Source organism: Homo sapiens, chromosome 2 (assembly GCF_000001405.40).
Source record: "Homo sapiens chromosome 2, GRCh38.p14 Primary Assembly".
Classification (NCBI taxonomy): domain Eukaryota; kingdom Metazoa; phylum Chordata; class Mammalia; order Primates; family Hominidae; genus Homo; species Homo sapiens.
In genome coordinates, this window is record NC_000002.12 from 95903773 (window position 1) to 95930370 (window position 26598).

The 26598-nt window shown below is 36.3% G+C and overlaps 1 protein-coding gene across 2 annotated transcripts in view; it reads right to left on the minus strand.

The window, feature by feature from the left end:
* ANKRD36C (ankyrin repeat domain 36C) overlaps positions 1-26598 on the minus strand; it is a 142893-nt gene that overhangs the window by 54841 nt on the left and 61454 nt on the right. The window contains exons 25-53 of one of the 2 annotated variants that reach the window (NM_001310154.3): positions 25467-25495; positions 25300-25372; positions 23609-23637; positions 23442-23514; positions 21747-21775; positions 21580-21652; positions 19889-19917; positions 19723-19795; positions 19539-19613; positions 18010-18038; positions 17835-17907; positions 16120-16148; positions 15961-16033; positions 14242-14270; positions 14083-14155; positions 12371-12399; positions 12208-12280; positions 10503-10531; positions 10336-10408; positions 8635-8663; positions 8472-8544; positions 6768-6796; positions 6601-6673; positions 4897-4925; positions 4730-4802; positions 3022-3050; positions 2859-2931; positions 1152-1180; positions 989-1061 (exon numbers count right to left, since the gene is read on the minus strand). In NM_001310154.3, the coding sequence (NP_001297083.1) occupies positions 989-1061; positions 1152-1180; positions 2859-2931; positions 3022-3050; positions 4730-4802; positions 4897-4925; positions 6601-6673; positions 6768-6796; positions 8472-8544; positions 8635-8663; positions 10336-10408; positions 10503-10531; positions 12208-12280; positions 12371-12399; positions 14083-14155; positions 14242-14270; positions 15961-16033; positions 16120-16148; positions 17835-17907; positions 18010-18038; positions 19539-19613; positions 19723-19795; positions 19889-19917; positions 21580-21652; positions 21747-21775; positions 23442-23514; positions 23609-23637; positions 25300-25372; positions 25467-25495 (1503 nt within the window). The remainder of the gene's footprint in view (positions 1-988; positions 1062-1151; positions 1181-2858; positions 2932-3021; positions 3051-4729; positions 4803-4896; positions 4926-6600; positions 6674-6767; positions 6797-8471; positions 8545-8634; positions 8664-10335; positions 10409-10502; positions 10532-12207; positions 12281-12370; positions 12400-14082; positions 14156-14241; positions 14271-15960; positions 16034-16119; positions 16149-17834; positions 17908-18009; positions 18039-19538; positions 19614-19722; positions 19796-19888; positions 19918-21579; positions 21653-21746; positions 21776-23441; positions 23515-23608; positions 23638-25299; positions 25373-25466; positions 25496-26598) is intronic. The other variant, NM_001393982.1, reaches the window with a different exon arrangement.

Consider the following 26598-nt stretch of genomic DNA (forward strand, 5'->3'; position numbering starts at 1 on the left):
ATATCATCAATTATCAATTTTGACATACATATACAAAGTAAAACTGCTACAAGCATTAGATATTGATCAGTTTTTCATTCAGAAATCAGTGCAATATTCATTGAAAATGACCATTTTAGGAGTTAATTAGAATCCAGCATAATTTTTGTTTCTAAAATAGCCTTGTTGGGAGTATCATGTTGTTCTCTAAAGAAGTTTCATGAAATAGCTATTGTATCCAAGAGGTAGCTCCTTGAACAAGGAAGCCAATGTATTCAGATTCAACTTTGTCTCATTTCTGTAACTAAAATCAACAAAACATGTATCTCTGATGCCTAATAGTAACAAAGAGGAGTAATGAGTCAGTGTGTGTGTTTTTATGCCAATTCTAGGATTGTTTCCTTCTTCCAGCAGTTCCTGCAGCAGCCAAAATCAAGTATTTTTTATTAAAATATTCCAAATGCATCTGAAGTGAGTTCACTCAGGTTTCCTCAGCGGAAACCCCAAAATTATATAAATGACTGCCTCTTTTCACACCTTCCTGCCTCACAATCCGTCATCCTTGGGAAAATGATTGCTACACCAGGGGCCTCCTTAGTTCTCCTACAGTGTGTATGGGTTATTACAACAAGTTTTCTGTCTGTTCTTAGCAGTACGATGTGACATCTGTAAAATCGATACTTCCTCTCTTTCTCCTTCCACCCTTACTGAGAACAAGCTGGAGAATTAAAGCAAAACTATGCTGTTCCCCAGAGCCCCTTATGTCTTCAACTGCTCTCCATATATCTTCTTCCCAACTTCAATGTGGGGAACTGTATAATCTTACAGCCAAGGTCATGTTCCAGACCAGCAGCATCAGCATCACCCAAGAACTTACTACAAATGAAGAACCTCCAGCCTGCTGAATCAGGAAGTGCAGCTTCGACGAGCCCCCCGCTGATTTATTTGGGGAAGGGGACTTCTTATCTATCTGGACTGAACATGACATTAAATCTGTTTTCAAAATTACCTGTTCTAGATTTTTCTCCATCCTTTTTTTCTCTGGCTATATTCAAAACAGAATCTTCCTCGTCACTTGTAGCCTGAATGGAATTGGAAATGAAATAATAAATAAAATATGTTTCATAGACCATACATTAACTCGTTCACAATATAAATGAGAGTTTCATTACCTTCAAGGCTGGTGGTTTCTGAGAAGACACTGAAAAGCAAAAGGGATTCATAATCACTCATATGTAAATATGACAAAGATATCCATACATTCATGCAGAGTTAGCATCATACTCTGTCCTCCTGCGTGTATTAGCGCAGGCTTTGATGGCTTCTACTTTGTGTCTGGGGACTAGAACATGACAGAAATACACTGAGAAAAGGGAATACAGGCTCCATGAAATATGCCCTTGCAATTTCAAACATGGTACGATTTCTCATATGTCAAAAACTAAACTAAAACCGTGTCAATCTCAATGTGCATAGGCCGAGTGATGAGAACAAATGTGATCTAAAATCAGAGGAGCAACTCACACACCTGAGAATCAATGTCAAAGCAGGTGCTACATGATCCCATATTTCTTTCATGCAACAAATCAAAAGGATTTACACCATTATACTAAAAACATTCATCATGCTCTTTAAATTGCCAATAACTGAGAAGGCACACAATTGCAATGATACTTCAGTTAAACTTACACTTCACATCTCTTCAGTGGAAGAGTCCTGAATTGATCACATTGGACACCTGTTTGCTGATACCTAGTAGATAATATTCATTATCTCTCACACCCATGTGGTATAAAAATTTGCTTAAGTTTCTTGTATCCACTAGTTTAGCCTTCCAAAAGTTTCTTCATCCACTCATGGCACCAAAGGATAATATATTAGCCTCAATAAAAATATCATCAATTATCAATTTTGACATACTTCTACAAAGTAAACCTGCAGCAAGCGTTAGATATTGAGCAGTTTTTCATTCAGAAATCACTGCAATATTCATTGAAAATGACCATTTTAGGAGTTAATTAGAATTCAACATAATTTTTGTTTCTAAAACATGATACTTCTTGGGAGTATCATGTTAGTCTCTAAAGAAGTTTCATGAAATAGCTATTTCACCCAAGAGGTAGCTCCTGGAACAAGGAAGCCAATGTATTCATATTCAAGTTTATCTCATTTTTATAAGTAAAGTCAACAAAACATGTATCTCTGATGCCTAATAGTAACAAAGAGGAGTAATGAGTCATTGTGTTTTTATGCCAATTCAAGAAATGTTTCCTGCTTCCAGAAATTGCTGGAGCTGCCAAAATCAAATATTGTTTATGGAAATGTTCCAAATGCATCTGAAGTGAGTTCACTCAGGTTTCCTCAGCAGTAACCCCAAAATTATATAAATGACTTCCTCTTTTCCCACCTTCCTGCCTCACAATCCGTCTTCATTCGGAAAATAATTGCTACATCAGGGGTCTCCTCAGTTCTCCTTCTACAGTGTCTACGGCTTATTATGAACAGTTTTCTGTCTGTTTTTAGCACTATCATGTGACATCTGTAAAATCTGTACTTCCTCTCTTTCTCCTTACACCCTTAATGAAAAGATGCTCCAGAAATAAAGCAAAATTATGCTGTGCCCAAGAGCCCCTTATGTCTTCAACTGCTCTCCATATTTCTTCCTCCCAATTGCAATGTGGGGATGTGTATAATCTTACAGTGAAGATCATGTTCCAGACCAGCAGCATCAGCATAACCCAAGAACTTATTAGAAATGAAGAATCTCAGGCCTACTGAATCAGAATGTGCAGTTTCGACCAGCCCCCCACTGATTTATTCGGGGAAGAGAACTTCTTATCTGGACTGAACATGACATTAAATGTGTTTTGCAAAGTTACCTGTCCTAGATGTTTCTCCATCCTTTCTTTCTCTGGTTATATTTGAAAAAGAATCTTTCTCATCACTTGTAGCCTGAATGGAATTTGAAACAAAATAATAAATAAGGTATGTTTCATAGGCTTTACATTTACTAGCTCACAATATAAATGAGAGTTTTATTACCTTCAAGGCTGCTTTTTTCCGAGAAGACACTGAAAAGCAAAAGGGATACATAATCACTCACATGTAAATATGATAAAGTTATCCATACATTCACACGGTGTTAGCATCAACCTCTGTCCTCCTGCCTGTATTAGTGGAGGCTTTGATGGCTTCTACTTTGTCTCTGGGGACCAGAAGGTGACAGAAGTACACTGAAAAAAGGGAACACAGGCTCCATGAAATATACCCTTACAATTTCAAACATGGTATGATTTGTCATGTGTCGAAACCCAAAATAAAACCGTGTCAATATCAATGTGGATATGCTGAGTGATGAGGACAAATGTGATCTAAAAACAGAGGAGCAACTCATACACGTGAGAATCAATGTCAAAACAGGTGCTACATGATCCCACATGTCTTTCATGCAACAAATCAAAAGGATTTACACCATTATACTACAAACATTCATCATGCTCTTTAACTTGCCCAATAACTGAGAAGGCACACAATTACGATGACACTCCAGCTGAACGTACACTTAACATATCTTCAGTGGAAGTGTCCTGAATTGATCACCTTGGATATCTGTTTGCTGATACCTAGTAGATAATATTCATTATCTCTCACACCCATGTAGTGTAATAATTTGCCTAAGTTTCATGTATCCACTAGTTTAGGCTTCCGAAAGTTTCTTCATCCACTCTTGGCACCAAAGGATAATATATTAGCCTCAATAAAAATATCATCAATTATCAACTTTGACATGCTTCTACAAAGTGAAATGGCTACAAGCATTAGATATTAATCAGTTTTTCATTCAGAAATCACTGCAATATTCATTGAAAATGACCATTTTAGGAGTTAGTTAGAATTCAACATCATTCTTGTGTCTAAAATACTCTTGTTGGGAGTATCGTGTTATTCTCTAAAGAAGTTTCATTAAATAGCTATTTTATCCAAGAGGTAGCTCCTTGAACAAGGAAACAAATTTATTCATATTCAAGATTATCTCATTTTTATAACTAAAATCAACAAAACATGTATCTCTGATGCCTCCTAGTAACCAAGAGGAGTAATGAGTCAGTGTGGTGGTGTATTCCAATTATACCATTGTTTCCTGCTTCCAGTAGTTCCTGGAGCAGCCAAAATCAAATATTTGTTATGAAAATATTCCAAATGCATCTGAAGTGAGTTCACTCAGGTTTTCTCAGCAGAAACCCCAAAATTATATAAATGACTTCCTCTTTTCACACCTTCCTGCCTCACAATCTGTCTTCCTTAGGAAAATAGTTGCTACACCAGGGGTCTCCTTAGTTCTCCTAACAGTGTCTACGGGTTGTTACAACAAGCTTTCTGTCTTTTCTTGGCAGTACGATCTGAAGTGTGTAAATTCTATACTTCCTCTCTTTCTCCTTCCACCCTTACTGAAAACAAGCTGGAGAATTAAAGCAAAATTATGTTGTTCCCCAGAGCCCCTTATGCCTTGAACTGCTCTCCATATTTCTTCTTCCCAATTTCAATATGGGGAAGTGTATAATCTTACGGCGAAGATCATGTTCCAGACCAGCAGCATCATCATCACCCAAGAACTTATTTGAAATGAAGAATCTCAGGACTGCTGAATCAGAATGTGCAGCTTCAACGAGCCCCCCGCTGATTTATTCACGGAAGAGAATTTCTTATCTATCTGGACTGAACATGACATTAAATCTCTTTTCAAAATTACCTCTCCTAGTTTTTTCTCCATGCTTTTTTCCTCTGGCTATATTCAAAAGAGAATCTTTCTCATCTCTTGTAGCCTGAATGGAATTTGAAATGCAATAATAAATTAATAAAGTATGTTTCATAGACTATACATTTACTAGTTCACAACATAAATGACAGTTTCATTACCTTCAAGCCTGGTGGTTGCTCAGAAGACACTGAAAAGTAAAAGGGATTCATAATCACTCATATGTAAAAATGACAAAATTATCCACATATTCATGCAGTGTTAGCATCAACCTCTGTCCTCCTGCCTGTATTAGCGTAGGCTTTGATGGCTTCTACTTTGTGTCTGGGGACTAGAACATGACAGAAATACGCTGAGAAAAGGGAATACAGGCTCCACGAAATATAGTCTTAGAATTTCAAACATGGTATGATTTGTCATATGCCAAAAACTAAAATAAAACCATGTCAATATCAACGTGGATATGCCGAGTGATGAGGACAAAGTGATCTAAAATCAGAGGAGCAACACATACACCTGAGAATCAATGTCAAAGCAGGTGCTACATGATCCCACTTATCTTTCATGCAACAAATTAAAAGGATTTACACCATTATACTACAAACATTCATCGTGCTCTTTAACTTGCCCAATAACTGAGAAGGCACACAATTACGACGACAATTCAGTTGAATGTACACTTCACATCACTTCAGTGGAAGTGTGCTAAATTAATCACCTTGGATATCTGTTTGCTGATACCTAGTAGATAATATTCATTATCTCTCTCAACCATATGGTGTAACAATCTGCCTAAGTTTCTTGTATCCACTAGTTTAGCCTTCCGAAAGTTTCTTCATCCAGTCGTGGCAACAAAGGATAATATATTAGCCTCAATAAAAATATCATCAATTATCAATTTTGACATACATATACAAAGTAAAACTGCTACAAGCATTAGATATTGATCAGTTTTTCATTCAGAAATCAGTGCAATATTCATTGAAAATGACCATTTTAGGAGTTAATTAGAATCCAGCATAATTTTTGTTTCTAAAATAGCCTTGTTGGGAGTATCATGTTGTTCTCTAAAGAAGTTTCATGAAATAGCTATTGTATCCAAGAGGTAGCTCCTTGAACAAGGAAGCCAATGTATTCAGATTCAACTTTGTCTCATTTCTGTAACTAAAATCAACAAAACATGTATCTCTGATGCCTAATAGTAACAAAGAGGAGTAATGAGTCAGTGTGTTTTTATGCCAATTCTAGGATTGTTTCCTTCTTCCAGCAGTTCCTGCAGCAGCCAAAATCAAGTATTTTTTATTAAAATATTCCAAATGCATCTGAAGTGAGTTCACTCAGGTTTCCTCAGCGGAAACCCCAAAATTATATAAATGACTGCCTCTTTTCACACCTTCCTGCCTCACAATCCGTCATCCTTGGGAAAATGATTGCTACACCAGGGGCCTCCTTAGTTCTCCTACAGTGTGTACGGGTTATTACAACAAGTTTTCTGTCTGTTCTTAGCAGTACGATGTGACGTCTGTAAAATCGATACTTCCTCTCTTTCTCCTTCCACCCTTACTGAGAACAAGCTGGAGAATTAAAGCAAAACTATGCTGTTCCCCAGAGCCCCTTATGTCTTCAACTGCTCTCCATATATCTTCTTCCCAACTTCAATGTGGGGAACTGTATAATCTTACAGCCAAGGTCATGTTCCAGACCAGCAGCATCAGCATCACCCAACAACTTACTACAAATGAAGAATCTCCGGCCTGCTGAATCAGAAAGTGCAGCTTCGACGAGCCACCCGCTGCTTTATTTGGAGAAGAGAACTTCTTATCTATCTGGACAGAACACGACATTAAATCTGTTTTCAAAATTACCTGTCCTAGATTTTTCTCCATCCTTTTCTTCTCTGGCTATACTCAAAACAGAATCTTCCTCGTCACTTGTAGCCTGAATAGAATTTGAAACGAAATAATAAATAAATAAAGTATGTTTCATAGACCATACATTAACTCGTTCACAATATAAATGAGAGTTTCATTACCTTCAAGGCTGGTGGTTTCTGAGAAGACACTGAAAAGCAAAAGGGATTCATAATCACTCATATGTAAATATGACAAAGATATCCATACATTCATGCAGCGTTAGCATCAAACTCTGTCCTCCTGCCTGTATTAGCGCAGGCTTTGATGGCTTCTACTTTGTGTCTGGGGACTAGAACATGACAGAAGTACACTGAGAAAAGGGAATACAGGCTCCATGAAATATACCCTTACAATTTCAAACACGGTACGATTTCTCATATGTCTAAAACTAAAATAAAACCGTGTCAATCTCAACGTGCATAGGCCAAGTGATGAGAACAAATGTGATCTAAAATCAGAAGAGCAACTCAGACACCTGAGAATCAATGTCAAAGCAGGTGCCACATGATCCCACATGTCTTTCGTGCAACAAATCAAAAGGATTTACACCATTATACTACAAACATTCATCATGCTCTTTAACTTGCCCAATAACTGAGAAGGCACACAATTGCGACGATACTTCAGTTGAACTTACACTTCACATCTCTTCAGTGGAAGTGTCCTAAATTGATCACTTTGGATACCTGTTTGCTGATACCTAGTAGATAATAATCATTATCTCTCACACCCATGTGGTGTAATACTTTGCTTAAGTTTCTTTCATCCACTAGTTTAGCCTCCCAAACGTTTCTTCATCCACTCATGGCACCAAAGGATAATATATTAGCCTCAATAAAAATATCATCAATTATCAATTTTGACATATTTCTACAAAGTAAAATGCTACAAGCATTAGATATTAATAAGTTTTACATTCAGAAATCATTCCAGTATTCATTGAAAATGATCACTCTAGGACTTAATTAGAATGCAACATAATTTTTGTTTCTAAAATAGCCTTGTTAGGAGTATCATGTTATTTTCTAAAGAAGTTTCATTAAACAGCTATTTTATCCAAGAGGTGGCTCCTTGAACAAGGAAGCCAACGTAGTCATATTCAAGTTTATCTCATTTCTATAACTAAAATCAACAAAACATGTATCTCTGATGCCTAATAGTAACAAAGAGGAGTAATGAGTCATTGAGTTTTTATGCCAATTCAAACACTGTTTCCTGCTTCCAGCAGTTGCTGGAGCTGCCAAAAACAATTACTGTTTATGCAAATGTTCCAAATGCATCTGAAGTGAGTTCACTCAGGATTCCTCCGCAGTAACCCCAAAATTATATAAACGACTTCCTCTTTTCCCACCTTCCTGCCTCACAATCCGTCTTCATTCGGAAATTAATTGCTACATCAGGGGTCTCCTCAGTTCTCCTTCTACAGTGTCTATGGGTTATTATGAACAGCTTTCTGCCTGTTTTTAGCACTACGATGTGACGTCTGTAAAATCTGTACTTCCTATCTTTCTCCTTACACCCTTGATGAAAAGATGCTACAGAATTAAAGCAAAACTATGCTGTACCCCAGAGCCCCTTATGTCTTCAACTGCTCTCCATATTTCTTCCTCCCAATTGCAATGTGGGGATGTGTATAATCTTACAGTGAAGATCATGTTCCAGACCAGCAGCATCAGCATAACCCAAGAACTTATTAGAAATGAAGAATCTCAGGCCTGCTGAATCAGAATGTGCAGCTTCGACCAGCCCCCCACTGATTTATTCGGGGAAGAGAACTTCTTATCTGGACTGCACATGACATTAAATGTGTTTTGCAAAATTACCTGTCCTAGATGTTTCTCCATCCTTTTTTTCTCTGGTTATATTCGAAAAAGAATCTTTCTCATCACTTGTAGCCTGAATGGAATTTGAAACAAAATAATAAATAAGGTATGTTTCATAGGCTTTACGTTTACTAGCTCACAATATGAATGAGAGTTTCATTACCTTCAAGGCTGGTTTTTTCCGAGAAGACACTGAAAAGCAAAAGGGATACATAATCACTCACACGTAAATATGATAAAGTTATCCATACATTCGCACAGTGTTAGCATCAACCTCTGACCTCCTGCCTGTATTAGTGGAGGCTTTGATGGCTTCTATTTTGTGTCTGGGGACCAGAACGTGACAGAAACACACTGAAAAAAGGGAACACAGGCTCCATGAAATATACCCTTACAATTTCAAACATGGTATGATTTGTCACGTGTCGAAACCCAAAATAAAACCGTGTCAATATCAATGTGGATATGCTGAGTGATGAGGACAAATGTGATCTAAAATCAGAGGAGCAACTCATACACGTGAGAATCAATGTCAGAACAGGTGCTATATGATCCCATATGTCTTTCATGCAACAAATCAAAAGGATTTACACCATTAGGCTACAAACATTCATCATGCTCTTTAACTTGACCAATAACCGAGAAGGCACACAATTACGATGACACTTCAGTTGAATGTACACTTCACATCTCTTCAGTGGAAGTGTCCTGAATTGATCACCTTGGATATCTGTTTGCTGATACCTAGTAGATAATATTCATTATCTCTCACACCCATGTAGTGTAATAATTTGCCTAAGTTTCATGTATCCACTAGTTTAGGCTTCCGAAAGTTTCTTCATCCACTCTTGGCACCAAAGGATAATATATTAGCCTCAATAAAAATATCATCAATTATCAACTTTGACATGCTTCTACAAAGTGAAATGGCTACAAGCATTAGATATTAATCAGTTTTTCATTCAGAAATCACTGCAATATTCATTGAAAATGACCATTTTAGGAGTTAGTTAGAATTCAACATCATTCTTGTGTCTAAAATACTCTTGTTGGGAGTATCGTGTTATTCTCTAAAGAAGTTTCATTAAATAGCTATTTTATCCAAGAGGTAGCTCCTTGAACAAGGAAGCAAATTTATTCATATTCAAGATTATCTCATTTTTATAACTAAAATCAACAAAACATGTATCTCTGATGCCTCCTAGTAACCAAGAGGAGTAATGAGTCACTGTGGTGTATTCCAATTATACCATTGTTTCCTGCTTCCAGTAGTTCCTGGAGCAGCCAAAATCAAATATTTGTTATGAAAATATTCCAAATGCATCTGAAGTGAGTTCACTCAGGTTTCCTCAGCAGAAACCCCAAAATTATATAAATGACTTCCTCTTTTCACACCTTCCTGCCTCACAATCCGTCTTCCTTAGGAAAATAGTTGCTACACCAGGGGTCTCCTTAGTTCTCCTACAGTGTCTATGGGTTGTTACAAGCTTTCTGTCTTTTCTTGGCAGTATGATCTGAAGTGTGTAAATTCTATGCTTCCTCTCTTTCTCCTTCCACCCTTACTGAAAACAAGCTGGAGAATTAAAGCAAAATTATGTTGTTCCCCAGAGCCCCTTATGCCTTGAACTGCTCTCCATATTTCTTCTTCCCAGTTTCAATGTGGGGAAATGTATAATCTTACAGCGAAGATGATGTTCCAGACCAGCAGCATCAGCATCACCCAAGAACTTATTTGAAATGAAGAATCTCAGGACTGCTGTATCAGAATGTGCAGCTTCAACGAGCCCCCCGCTGATTTCTTCAGGGAAGAGAATTTCTTATCTATCTCGACTGATCATGACATTAAATCTCTTTTCAAAATTACCTCTCCTAGTTTTTTCTCCATCCTCTTTTCCTCTGGCTATATTCAAAACAGAATCTTCCTCGTCACTTGTAGCCTGAATGGAATTTGAAATGAAATAATAAGTTAATAAAGTATGTTTCATAGACTATGCATTTACTAGGTCACAATATAAATGACAGTTTCATTACCTTCAAGCCTGCTGGTTTCTCAGAAGTCACTGAAAAGTAAAAGGGATTCATAATCACTCATATGTAAAAATGACAAAATTATCCATACATTCATGCAGTGTTAGCATCAACCTCTGTCTTCCTGCCTGTATTAGCGTAGTCTTTGATGGCTTCTACTTTGTGTCTGGGGACTAGAACATGATAGAAATACGCTGAGAAACGGGAATACAGGCTCCATGAAATATAGTCTTAGAATTTCAAACATGGTATGATTTGTCATATGTCGAAAACTAAAATAAAACCGTGTCAATCTCAATGTGCATAGGCCGGGTGATGAGAACATATGTGATCTAAAATCAGAGGAGAAACTCACACACCTGAGAATCAATGTCAAAGCAGGTGCTACATGATCCCACATGTCTTTCACACAGGAAATCAAAAGGATTTACACCATTATACTACAAACATTCACCATGCTCTTTAACTTGCCCAAAAACTGAGAAGGCACACAATTCCGATGATACTTCAGTTGAACTTACACTTCACATCTCTTCAGTGGAAGTGTCCTAAATTGATCACTTTGGATACCTGTTTGCTGATACCTAGTACATAATATTCATTATCTCTCACACCCATGTGGTGTAATACTTTGCTTAAGTTTCTTTCATCCACTAGTTTAGCCTTCCAAACGTTTCTTCATCCACTCATGGCACCAAAGGATAATATATTAACCTCAATAAAAATATCATCCATTATCAATTTTGACATATTTCTACAAAGTAAAACTGCTACAAGCATTAGATATTAATAAGTTTTACATTCAGAAATCATTCCAGTATTCATTGAAAATGATCACTCTAGGACTTAATTAGAATGCAACATAATTTTTGTTTCTAAAATAGCCTTGTTAGGAGTATCATGTTATTTTCTAAAGAAGTTTCATTAAACAGCTATTTTATCCAAGAGGTAGCTCCTTGAACAAGTAAGCCAACCTATTCATATTTAAGTTTATCTCATTTCTATAACTAAAATCAACAAAACATGTATCTCTGATGCCTAATAGTAACAAAGAGGAGTAATGAGTCATTGTGTTTTTATGCCAATTCAAGCACTGTTTCCTGCTTCCAGAAATTGCTGGAGCTGCCAAAATCAAATATTGTTTATGGAAATGTTCCAAATGCATCTGAAGTGAGTTCACTCAGGTTTCCTCAGCAGTAACCCCAAAATTATATAAATGACTTCCTCTTTTCCCACCTTCCTGCCTCACAATCCATCTTCATTCGGAAAATAATTGCTACATCAGGGGTCTCCTCAGTTCTCCTTCTACAGTGTCTACCGGTTATTATGAACACTTTTCTGTCTGTTTTTAGCCCTATGATGTGACGTCTGTAAAATCTGTACTTCCTCCCTTTCTCCTTACACCCTTAATGAAAAGATGCTACAGAATTAAAGCAAAATTATGCTGTGCCCCAGAGCCCCTTATGTCTTCAACTGCTCTCCATATTTCTTCCTCCCAATTGCAATGTGGGGATGTGTATAATCTTACAGCGAAGATCATGTTCCAGACCAGCAGCAACAGCGTAACCCAAGAACTTATTAGAAATGAAGAATCTCAGGCCTGTTGAATCAGAATGTGCAGCTTCGACCAGCCCCCCACTGATTTATTCGGGGAAGAGAACTTCTTATCTGGACTGAACATGACATTAAATGTGTTTTGCAAAATTACCTGTCCTAGATATTTCTCCATCCTTTTTTTCTCTGGTTATATTCGAAAAAGAATCTTTCTCATCACTTGTAGCCTGAATGGAATTTGAAACAAAATAATAAATAAGGTATGTTTCATAGGCTATACGTTTACTAGCTCACAATATAAATGAGAGTTTCATTACCTTCAAGGCTGGTTTTTTCCGAGAAGACACTGAAAAGCAAAAGGGACACGTAATCACTCACTCGTAAATATGATAAAGTTATCCATACATTCACACAGTGTTAGCATCAACCTCTGAACTCCTGCCTGTATTAGTGGAGGCTTTGATGGCTTCTACTTTGTGTCTGGGGACTAGAACATGACAGAAATACACTGAAAAAAGGGAACACAGGCTCCATGAAATATACCCTTACAATTTCAAACATGGTATGATTTGTCATGTGTCGAAAACTAAAATAAAACCGTGTCAATATCAAGGTGGGTATGCTGAGTGATGAGGACAAATGTGATCTAAAATCAGAGGAGCAACTCATACACGTGAGAATCAACGTCAAAACAGGTGCTACGTGATCCCACATGTCTTTCATGCAAGAAACCAAAGGATTTACACCATTACACTACAAACATTCATCATGCTCTTTAACTTGCCCAATAACTGAGAAGGCACACAATTCCGATGACCCTTCAGTTGAATGTACACTCACATCTCTTCAGTGGAAGTGTCCTAAATTGATCACCTTGGATATCTGTTTGCTGATACCTAGTAGATAATATTCATTATCTCTCACACCCATGTGGTGTAATAATTTGCCTAAGTTTCTTGGATCCACTAGTTTAGCCTTCCTATAATTTCTTCATCTAGTCGTGGCACCAAAGGATAATATTTTAGACTCGATAAAAATATCATCAATTATCAATTTTGACATACGTATACAAAGTAAAACTGCTACAAGCGTTAGATATTGAGCAGTTTTTCATTCAGAAATCACTGCAATATTCATTGAAAATGACCATTTTAGGAGTTAATTAGAATCCAGCATTTTTGTTTCTAAAATAGCCTTGTTGGGAGTATCAGGTTGTTCTCTAAAGAAGTTTGATGAAATAGCTATTGTATCCAAGACGTAGCTCCTTGAACAAGGAAGCCAATGTATTCATATTCAAGTTTATCTCATTTTTATAAGTAAAGTCAACAAAACATGTATCTCTGATGCCTAATAGTAACAAAAAGAAGTAATGAGTCAGTGTGCTTTATCCCAATTCTAGCATTGTTTCCTGCTTCCAGTAGTTCCTGGAGCTGCCAAAATCAAATATTTTTTAAGCACATATTCCAAATGCATGTGAAGTGAGTCCACTCAGATTTCCTCAGCAGAAACCCCTAAATTATATAAATAACTTCTTTTCCCTCCTTCCTGTCTGACAATCCATCATCCTTTGGAAAATAATTGCTACATCAGGGGTCTCCTTAGTTCTCATTCTACAGTGTCTATGGATTATTACTATCAGTTTTCTGTCTTTTCTCAGCAGTACGATGTGACGTCTGTAAAATCTATACTTCCTCTCTTTCTCCTTCCACCCTTAGTGAAACCATGCTGTAGAATTAAAGCAAAACTATGCTGTTCCCCAGAGCCCCTTATGTCTTGAACCTCTCTCCATATTTCTTCTTCCCAATTTCAACGTGGGGAAGTGTATAATCATACTGCAAAGATCACGTTCCAAGCCAGCAGCATTAGCGCCACCCAAGAATTTATTACAAATGAAGACTCTCAGGACTGCTGGATCAGAATGTGCAGCTTTGGCGAGCACCCCCAACCGCCCTCCGCTGATTTATTCAGGGTAGAGAAGTTCTTTTCTATCTGGATTGAACGTGACATTAAATGTCTTTTGCAAAATTACCTGTCCCAGATTTTTCTCCGTCCTTTATTTCTGTGGCTATAATCGAAACAGAATCTTCCTCGTCAGTTGTAGCCTGAATGGAATTTGAAAGAAAATAATAAATAAATAAATCAATGAAGTATGTGTCATAGAATACAATGTAAATGAGAGTTTAATTACCTTCAAGGCTGGTTGTTTCTGAGAAGACACTGAAAAGCAAAAGGGATACATAATCACTCATGTGTAAATATGATAAAGTTATCCATACATTCACACAGTGTTAGCATCAAGCTGTATCCTTCTGCCTGTACTAGTGTAGGCTCTGATGTCTTCTACTTTGTGTCTTGGGACTGGAACATGACAGAAGTACACTGGTAAGAGGGAATACAGGCTCCATCAAATATATCCTTACAATTTCAAACACGGTATGATTCGTCATACGTCGAAAACTAAAATAAAACCGTGTCAATCTCAATGTGGATATGCCGAGTGATGAGGACAAACTGATCTAAAATCGGAGGAGCAACTCATACATGTGAGAATCAATGTCAAAGCAGGTGCTACATGATCCCACATGTCTTTCATGCAGGAAATCAAAAGGATTTACACCATTATACTACAAACATTCATCATGCTCTTTAACTTGCCCAATAACTGAGAAGGCACACAGTTACCATGACACTTCAGTTGAACATACACTTCACATCCCTTCAGTGGAAGTGTCCTAAATTGATCACCTTGGATATCTGTTTGCTGATACCTAGTAGATAATATTCATTATCTCTCACACCCATGTGGTGTAATAATTTGCCTAAGTTTCTTGGATCCACTAGTTTATCCCTCCAAAACTTTCTTCGTCAAGTCGTGGCACCAAAGGGTAATATATTAGCCTCAATAAAAATATCATCAATTATCAATTTTGACATACTTCTACAAAGTAAACCTGCAGCAAGCGTTAGATATTGAGCAGTTTTTCATTCAGAAATCACTGCAATATTCATTGAAAATGACCATTTTAGGAGTTAATTAGAATTCAACATAATTTTTGTTTCTAAAACATGATACTTCTTGGGAGTATCATGTTAGTCTCTAAAGAAGTTTCATGAAATAGCTATTTCACCCAAGAGGTAGCTCCTGGAACAAGGAAGCCAATGTATTCATATTCAAGTTTATCTCATTTTTATAAGTAAAGTCAACAAAACATGTATCTCTGATGCCTAATAGTAACAAAAAGGAGTAATGAGTCAGTGTGCTTTATCCCAATTCTAGCATTGTTTCCTGCTTCCAGTAGTTCCTGGAGCTGCCAAAATCAAATATTTTTTAAGCACATATTCCAAATGCAAGTGAAGTGAGTTCACTCAGATTTCCTCAGCAGAAACCCCTAAATTATATAAATAACTTCTTTTCCCTCCTTCCTGCCTGACAATCCATCATCCTTGGGAAAATAATTGCTACATCAGGGGTCTCCTTAGTTCTCCTTCTACAGTGTCTATAGGTTATTAATATCAGTTTTCTGTCTTTTCTTAGCAGTACGATGTGACGTCTGTAAAATCTGTACTTCCTCTCTTTCTCCTTCCACCCTTAGTGAAACCATGCTGTAGAATTAATGCAAAACTATGCTGTTCCCCAGAACCCCTTATGTCTTGAACTGCTCTCCCTATTTCTTCTTCCCAATTTCAATGTGGGAAAGTGTATAATCTTACTGCAAAGATCATGTTCCAGGCCAACAGCATTAGCGTCTCCCAAGAAATTTATTACAAATGAAAAATCTCAGGCCTGCTGAATCAGAATGTGCAGCTTCGGCGACTCCCCCCACCCACCCTCCGCTGATTTATTCGGGATAGAGAAGTTCTTTTTTATCTGGATTGAACATGACATTGAATGTGTTTTGCAAATTACCTGTCTCAGATTTTTCTCCATCCTTTATTTCTGTGGCTATATTCAAAACAGAATCTTCCTCGTCAGTTGTAGCCTGAATGGAATTTGAAAGAAAATAATAAATAAATAAATCAATGAAGTATGTGTCATAGACTACAATGTAAATGAGAGTTTAATTACCTTCAAGGCTGGTTGTTTCTGAGAAGACACTGAAAAGCAAAAGGGATACATAATCACTCATATATAAATATGATAAAGTTATCCATACATTCACACAGTGTTAGCATCAAGCTGTATCCTTCTGCCTGTACTAGTGTAGGCTCTGATGTCTTCTACTTTGTGTCTTGGGACTGGAACATGACAGAAATACACTGGTAAGAGGGAATACAGGCTCCATCAAATATATCCTTACAATTTCAAACATGGTATGATTCATCATACGTCAAAAACTAAAATAAAACCGTGTCAATATCAACGTGGATATGCCGAGTGATGAGGACAAACTGATCTAAAATCGGAGGAGCAACTCATACACGTGAGAATCAATGTCAAAGCAGGTGCTACATGATCCCACATGTCTTTCGTGCAACAAATCAAAAGAATTTACATCATTATACTACAAACATTCATCATGCTCTTTAACTTGCCCAATAACTGAGAAGGCACACAGTTACCATGGCACTTCAGTTGAATGTACACTTCACATCCCCTTCAGTGGAAGTGTCCTAAATTGATCACCTTGGATATCTGTTTGCTGATACCTAGTAGATAATATTCATTATCTCTCACACCCATGTGGTGTAATAATTTGCCTAAGTTTCTTGTATCCACTAGTTTATCCCTCTGAAACTTTCTTCATCATGTCATGGCACCAAAGGATAATATATTAGCCTCAATAAAAATATCATCAACTATCAATTTTGACATACTTCTACAAAGTAAAACTGCTACAAGCATTAGATATTGAGCAGTTTTTCATTCAGAAATCACTGCAATATTCATTGAAAATGACCATTTTAGGAGTTAATTAGAATTCAACATAATTTTTGTTTCTAAAACATGATACTTCTTGGGAGTATCATGTTAGTCTCTAAAGAAGTTTCATGAAATAGCTATTTTATCCAAGAGATAGCTCCTGGAACAAGGAAGCCAATGTATTCATATTCAAGTTTATCTCATTTTTATAAGTCAACAAAACATGTATCTCTGATGCCTAATAGTAACAAAAAGGAGTAATGAGTCAGTGTGCTTTATCCCAATTCTAGCATTGTTTCCTGCTTCCAGTAGTTCCTGGAGCTGCCAAAATCAAATATTTTTTAGGCACATATTCCAAATGCATGTGAAGTGAGTTCACTCAGATTTCCTCAGCAGAAACCCCTAAATTATATAAATAACTTCTTTTCCCTCCTTCCTGTCTGACAATCCATCTTCCTTGGGAAAATAATTGCTACATCAGGGATCTCCTTAGTTCTCATTCTACAGTGTCTATGGGTTATTACTATCAGTTTTCTGTCTTTTCTCAGCAGTACGATGTGATGTCTGTAAAATCTATACTTCCTCTCTTTCTCCTTCCACCCTTAGTGAAACCATGCTGTAGAATTAAAGCAAAACTATGCTGTTCCCCAGAGCCCCTTATGTCTTGAACCTCTCTCCATATTTCTTCTTCCCAATTTCAACGTGGGGAAGTGTATAATCATACTGCAAAGATCACGTTCCAAGCCAGCAGCATTAGCGTCACCCAAGAATTTATTACAAATGAAGACTCTCAGGCCTACTGAATCAGAATGTGCAGCTTCGGCGAGCCCCCCCACCTGCCCTCCACTGATTTATTCGGGGTAGAGAAGTTCTTTTCTATCTGGATTGAACATGACATTAAATGTCTTTTGCAAAATTACCTGTCCCAGATTTTTCTCCATCCTTTATTTCTGTGGCTATATTCGAAACAGAATCTTCCTCGTCAGTTGTAGCCTGAATGGAATTTGAAAGAAAATAATAAATAAATAAATAAATGAAGCATGTTTCATAGACTATAGATTCACTAGTTCACAATATAAATGAAAGTTTAATTACCTTCAAGGCTGGTTGTTTCTGAGAAGACACTGAAAAACAAAAGGGATAATCACTCATATGTAAATATGATACATTTTCCATACATTCATGCGGTGTTAGCATCAAGCTGTATCTGCCTGCCTGTATTAGTGTAGGCTTTGATGTTTTCTACTTTATGTCTTAAGCCAGGAGCATGACAGAAATATACTAAAGAAAACAGGAATTGATGTGTCACGATATATTCCTAACTATTTCAAACATAATATGATTTCTCGTATATCTAAAAGAAAAATAAATCAGTGTGAATATCAAAAAGGGTATGCCAAGTGATCACGACAAATGTGATCAAAAATCAGAGGGGAAACTCAATCACCTGGGAAAATCTCAAAGCAGGTGGCACATGCACCCACTTGTCTTTTATGCAAGATATCCAAATGATTTACACCATTATACTGCAAACATTCATCATGTTCATTAACTTGCCCAGTAACTGAGAAGGTACACATTTACAGTGACACTTCAGTTGAATGTACACCTCATGTCTCTGTCTCTTCAGTGAAGTGTCCTAAATTGCTCAGCTTGGATATATGTTTCCTGAATCCGAGTAAATAATATTCATTATTTCTCATATCCATGTGGTGCAACAATTTGCCTAAGTTTCCTGTATTCTCTAGTTTAGCCTTCCCAGACATTTCTTCATCCACTCATGGCAACAAAGTATGATATATAAACCTCAATAAAAAGCATCATCAATTATCAATTTTGACATACTTCTACTAAATAAAACTGCTAAAAGCATTGGATATTGATAAGCTTTTATATTTGGAAATCACTCCAATATTCATTGAAAATGACCATTTTAAGAGTCAGTTGATGAACTCAACATTATATTTGTTTTTAAAATTGTCTTGTTAGGAGGATCATACTATTCTCTAAATAATATTCATTAAATAGTTATTTTATCCGTGAGATAGCTCTTTGATGAAAGAAGCCAATGTATTGATATTCAAGTTTATCTAATTTTTATAACAAAAATCAACAAAAGATATATGTCTTATGCCTAATAGTAGCAAAGAGAAGTAATTAGTCAATGTGGTTTATCCCAATTCTAGCTTTCTTTGCTTCATCCAGTAGTTCCTGGAGCTGCCAAAATCAAATCTTTTTTGTGTAAATATGCTAAATGCATCTGAAGTGAGTTCACTCAGGTTTCCTCAGCAGAAACCCCAAAATTACATAAATAACTTCTTCTTTTCCCTCTTTCCTGCCTCACAATCCCTCTTCCTTGAGGAAAATCATTGCTACATCAGTGGTCTCATTAGTTCTCGTTCTACAATTTTTACTGGTTATTATGATCACTTTTCCATCTGTTTTTAGCAATACGATGTGACGTCTGTAAAATCTATACTTCAACTCATTCTCCTTCCACCCTTGGTGAAAACATGCTGTAGAATTAAAGCAAAATTATGCTGTACCCTGAGCCCCTTATGTCTTGATCTGCTCTCCAATGTTTCTTCTTCCCAATTTCAATGTGGGGAAGTCTATAATCTTACCGCGAAGATCATGTCCAAGACCAGCAGCATCAGCGTCACCCGAGAACTTATTACAAATGAAGAATCTCCGGCCTGCTGAATCAGAATGTGCAGCTTTGATGAGCCCCCCGCTGATTTATTCAGGGAAGAGAAGTTCTTTTCTATCTGGACTGAACATGACATTTAATGTGTTTTGCAAAATTACCTGTCCCACATTGTAGTCCATCCTTTATTTCTGTAGCTATATTCAAAGCAGAATCTGTCTTGTCACTTGTAGCCTGAAAGTAATTTGAAGCAAATTATCAATAAAGAAAGTATGTTTCATGGACTATACAGTTACTAATACAAAATATAAATGAGAGTTTAATTACCTTTGAGGGTGGTTGTTTCTGAGAAGACACTGAAAAGCAAAAGGGATACATAATCACTCATATGTAAATATGATAAAGTTATCTATACATTCATGAAGTGTTAGAATCAAGCTGTATGCTCCTGCCTGTATTAGTATAGGCTTTGATTTTTGTGTCTGGGGACTGGAACATGACAGAAATACACTGAAAAAAAAGAAATACAGGTTTCACAAAATAAACCCTTACAATGTCAATCATGGTATGATTTTTCATATGTCTAAAACTAAAATGAAACAGTGTTAGTATCAATGTGAATATGTCGAATGATGAGGACAAATGTGATCTAAAATCAGAGGAGCAACTCATACACCTGAGAATCAATGTCAAAGCAGGTGCTACATGATCCTCCATGTCTTTCATGCAAGCTATCAAAAGGATTTACACTAGTATACTACAAACATTCATCATGCTCTTTAACTTGCCTGATAACTGAGAAGGTACACAATTACAATGACACTTCAGTTGAATATACACTTCATGTCTCTTAAGTGGAAGGGACCTAAATTGATCAGCTTGGATATATGGTTGGTGAATCCTAGTAGATAGTATTCATTATTTATCATACACATGTGGTGGAATAATCTGCCTACATTTCTTGTATCCTCTAGTTTAGCCTTCAGTAATTTTCTTCATCCACTAATGGCAAGAAGGTATAATATATAAACCTCATCAAAAAGTACAATAAATTACACATATTTATACAAAATGCAATGGCTCCTGGCATTAGATATTAATAAACTTTTACGTTTGGATATCAGTCCAATATTCATTGAAAATAACCATTTTAGGATTCAATTAATACATTTAACATTATTTTTGTCTGCAAAATTAGTCTGCTCTGGAATATCATTGTATTATAAAGAATTTTCACTAAATAGCTATTTTAATGAAAAAGCCAGCACTTTGGAAAAAAGCTAATATAGTCGTATTAAATTTTAACTCATTTGAATAACTAATAAAAAATATATGTCTGATGTCTGATACTAATAAACAGGAATGAGGCACTGTGGTTTATCCCAACTCTAGCACTCCTTCCTGATTCCGGTAGTCATCGGAGCAGTCAGAAATCAAATCTTCTGGTATGCAAACATTCTAAATGCATCTGAAGTGAGTTCACTCAGGTTTCCTCAGCAGAAACCCCAAAATTACCTAAATAACTTCTTCCTTCCCCTCTTTCTTGCCTTGCAATCCCTCTTTCTTGATGAAAATAATTACTACATCAGTGGTCACTTTGTTTCTCATTCTCCAGTGTTTACAGGTTATTATAACAATTTCCTCCCTCTGGTTTTAGCAGTACCATCTGACATCTATAATTTCTGTTACTTCTTCTCTTTCTCCTTCCCCTCTCCATAGAAACATGCTCTGAAATAAGAGCAAAATTATGCTGTCCTCCGATCCTCTTATGTCTTGAACTGTTTTCCAATGGTTCTTCCATCCAAATTCAATGTAGGGAACTCTACAAGCTTGTTACTAAGATCATGGCCAAGGACCAGCAGCATCAGCACCACCTGACAACTTACTAGAAATGCACAATCTCAGGCCTGCTTAATCAGAAAGTGCATTTTCAATGACACTCCACTGATCTATTCAGGGGTGGGACGTTCTCTTCTGTCTTGAGTGCACATGACATTAAATGTGTATTGCCAAATTACCTGTTCCAGATTTCCCACCGCCCGTTATTCTTGTGGCAATATTCAAAAGAGAAACTTTCTTTTTAAATATAACCTGAATGGAAAGAGAAACAAAATAGTCAATACATAATATATATTTCATAGGCTATGTAATAAATAATTCAAAATATAAATGAAAGAGTAACTACCTTCCAGGCTGATTGTTTCTGAGGAGACACTGAAAAGTAAAAGAAATATATAATTCATCATATGTAAATATGATAAAGTCGTCCACACATTCATGCAGTGTTAGCATCAAGCTGTATCCTCCCACCTGCACTAGTGTAGGATTTGATGTTTTACAGTTTGTGTCTTTGGGACAGGAACATGAGGAAATATGCGAAGAAAATAGGAATACACGCTTCCAGAAAATATACAGTCAGAAATTACAAAGAGGTATTATGTGTCATGTGTGTATTACTGAAATAAAAAGTGTCAATATCAATGTGGATATGCCGAATGATGAAAAGAAATGTGATCTAAAATCAGAGGAGCAACTCATACACCCAGGAATCAATATCAAAGAAGGTACTAAATGCTACTGCATGTTTTTCATGCAAGACATCAGAGGGATTTATACCATTATACTGCAAGTATTCATCATGCTCTTTAACTTGCCTGGTAATTGAGCAGGTACACAATGACAATGACACTTTAGTAGAATGTACACTTCACAAGTCCTCGGTGGAAGTGGCCCAGCTTCAACAGCTTGGATATAGGTTGGGATAATCCTGTATATAATATTCTTTATTTCTCAAACCCATGTGGTGTAATAATGTGCCTACATTTGTTGTGTCCTCTAGTTTACGCTACAGAAAGGTTCTTCGTCCACTCATGGCAACAAATATAATATATAAACCTTATCAAAAAGTATAATAAATGATCAAATTTGACATACTTATACAAAATAAAGTTGCTACAAGCATTAGATATGAATAACCTTTTACATTTGGAAATCCCTCCAATATTCATTGAAAATGAGAATTTTAAAAGTCAATTAATGAATTCACCATTATTTTTCTTTCTAAAATAGTCTGGCATAAAATATCATGTTATTCTCTAAAGCATTTTCATTAAATTGCTATTTTTATCCAAAAGTTAGCTAATTGAAAAGCAAAGCCAATATATGCATATTCATGTTTATGTCATTTGAATAACTAATATCAACAAAATGTATATCTCTGATGCCCAACAGTAACAAAGAGGAGTAATGAGTCACTGTGGTTGATCCCAGTTCTAGTACTCCTTCCTGCTTCCACTGTTTCCTAAAGCAGCCAAAATCAAAGCTTCTTTTACAAAAATGTTTGAATATACAACTGAACTCAGGTTTCCTCAGAAGAAACCCCAAAATTACATAAATAACTTCTTATTTTCCCTCCTTCCTGCCTGACAATCCTCTTCCTTGAGGAAAGTCATTGCTACATCAGTGGTCTCCTTAGCTCTCGTTCTACAGTGTTTATGGGCTATTACCATAATTTCTCCATCTGTTTTTAGCAATACGATGTGATGTCTGTAAAATCTATACTTCATCTCTTTCTCCATCCACCCTTGGTGAAAACATGCTGTAGAATTAATGCAAAATTATGCTGTCCCCTGACTCCTTTTGTCTTTAATGGCTCTCCAACGTTTATTCTTCCCAATTTCAATGTGGGGAAGTCTATAATCTTACTGCAAAGATCATGTCAAAGACCAGCAGCATCAGTGTCACCTGAGAACTGAAGAATCTCAGGCCTGCTGAATCAGAATGTGCAGCTTCAATGAATCCCCCGCTGATTTATTCCAGGGAAGAGAAGTACTTTTCTATCTTGACTGAACATGACATTAAATGTGTTTTGCAAAATTACCTGTCCCAGATTGTTGTCCCTCCTTTATTTCTGTGGCTATATTTGAAACAGAATCTTTCTCATCACTTGTAGCCTGAATGGGATTTGAAACAAAATAATCAATACGTAAAGTAGGTTTCATAGACTATACAGTTAATAGTTCAACATATAAATGAGTCTTTAATTACCTTCTCAGCTGGTTGTTTCTGAGAAGACACTGAAAAGCAAAAGGGATACATAATCACTCACATGTACATATGATAAATTTATCCATACATTCATGAAGTGTTAGCATCAAACTATATCTTCCTGCCTGTACTAGTGTAGGCTTTGATGTTTTCTACTTTTTGTCTGGAGACTGGAACACGACAGAAATACACTGAAAAAAAAGGAATACAGCCTTCACAAAATATACCCTTACAATTTCAAACATGGTATGATTCGTGATATGTCTAAAACTAAAATAAAACCGTGTCAATATCAATGTGGATATGCCGAGTGATGAGGACAAATCAGAGGAGTAACTCACACACCTGAGAATCAATGTCAAAGCAGGTGGTACATTATCCCACATGTCTTTCTTGCAAGAAATCAAAAGGATTTACACCATTATACTACAAACGTTCATCATGCCCTTTAACTTGCCCAATAACTAGAAGATACACAATTACGATGACAATTCAGTTAAATGTACACTTCACGTCTCTTCAGTGGAAGTGTCCTAAATTGATCACCTTGGATATATGTTTCCTGAAATCTAGTAGATAATATTATTTCTCACACCCATGTGGTGTAATAATTTGCCTAAGTTTCTTGTATCCACTAGTTTAGCCTTCTGAAAGTTTCTTCATCCACTCTTGGCAACAAACGATAATATATTAGCCTCAATAAAAATATCAATTACCAATGTTAACATACTTCTACAAAGTAAAACTGCTACAAGCATTAGATATTAATAAGTTTTACATTCAGAAATCACTCCAATATTCATTGAAAATCACCACTGTAGGAGTTAATTAGAATTCAACATCATTTTTGTTTCTAAAATAGCCTTGTTGGAAGTATCATGTTAGTCTCTAAGGAAGTTTCATTAAATAGCTATTTTATCCAAGAGTTAGCTCCTTGAACAAGGAAGCCAATGTATTCATATGCAAGTTCATCTCATTTTTATAAGTAAAGTCCAGAAAACATGTATCTCTGATGCCTAATAGTAACAAAGAGGAGTAATGAGTCACTGTGGTTTATCCCGATTCTAGCACTCTTTCCTGCTTCCAGTAGTTCTTGGAGCAGCCAAAATCAAATCTTCTTTTATGCAAATATTCTAAATGCATCTGAAATGAGTTCACTCAGGTTTCCTCAGCAGAAACTCCAAAATTACATAAATACCTTCTTTTTCCTCCTTCCTGCCTCACAATCCCTCCTTCTTGAGGAAAATAATTGCTACATCAGTGGTCTTCTTAGCTCTCATTCTACAGTGTTTATGGAGTTATTAGGATCACTTTTCCCTCTGTTTATAACAATATGATATGATGCCTATAATATCTATTACTTCATCTCGTTCTCTTTCCCCTCTTGGTGGAAACATGCTGTAAAATTAAAGCAAAATTATGCTGCTCCCTGAGCCTGGTATGTGTTGAACTTCTCTCCAATGGTTCTTCTTCCCAATTTCAATGTAGGGAAGTCTACAATCTTACTACTCAGATCATGACCAAGGACCAGCAGCATCAGGGTCACCTGAGAACTCACTACAAATGAAGAATCTCAGGCATACTGAATCAGAACATGCAGCTTAGACGAACTCCCCACTGATTTATTTGGGGAAGGGAAGTTCTCTTCCATCTTGATTGAACATGACATTAGAAGTGTTTTGCAAAATTACCTGTCCCAGATATTGGTCCCTCCTTTATTTCTGTGGCTATATTTGAAACAGAATCTTTGTCGTCACTTGTAGCCTGAATGGGATTTGAAACAAAATAATCAATATGTAAAGTAGGTTTCATAGACTATACAGTTAATAGTTCAACATATAAATGAGACTTTAATTACCTTCTCAGCTGGTTGTTTCTGAGAAGACACTGAAAAGCAAAAGGGATACATAATCAATCATATGTAAATATGATAATGTTATCCATACATTAATGCATGGATAGCATGTTAGCATCAAGTTTTGTACTCCTGCCTGTATTACTGTAGGCTTTGATATTTTATACTTTGTTTCTTGGGACTAAACATGAAGGAAATACACTGAAGAAAATAGGAATACAGGCTTCAAGAAATATACACTGACAATTTCAAATGTGATATGACTTTCTCCATATGTCTAAAACTAAGATAAAACCATGTCAATATCAATGTGGATATGCTGAGTGATGAGGACAAATGTGATCTAAAATCAGAGTCCAACTCATACACCTGGGAATCAACGTCAAAGCAGGTGATACATGCACCCGCATGTCTTTCATGCAAGATATCAGTATGATTTGGAACATTTTACTGCAAACATTCATCATGCTCTTTAACTTGATTGATCAGTGAGAAGGTACACAATTATAATGACACTTTAGTTGAAATCTCTTCAGTGGAAGTGTCCTAACTTAATCAGCTTGGATATATGTTTGGTGAATTCTAGTATGTAATATTCATTATTTTTCACACCCATATGGTGTAATAATGTGCCTATATCTCTTGTATCTTCTAGTTTAGCCTTCCAAAAGTTCCTTCATCCACTCATTGCAACAAGGTATAATATATAAACTTCATCAAAAAGTGTAATAAATTAGCAAATTTGACATACTTATACAAAATAAAGTTTCTACAAGCATTAGATATGAATAAGCTTTTACATCTGGAAATCACTCCAATATTCCTTGAAAATAACCATTTGGGATTCAAGTAATGAATTCAACATTATTTTCACTTCTAAAATAGTCTGGTTAAAGTATCATGTTATTCTCTAGAGAATTTTTATTAAGTTGCTATTTTATCCAATAGCTCCTTGAAAAACAAAGCCAATGTATGCATATTCATGTTTATCTCATTTGAATAACCAATGTCAACAAAACATATACCTCTGGTGCCCAATGGTAACAAAGAGGAGCAATGAGTCACTGTGGTTTATCCCAATTCTATCACTCTTTCCTGCTTCCAGTAGTTCCTGGAGCAGCCAAAAATCAAATCA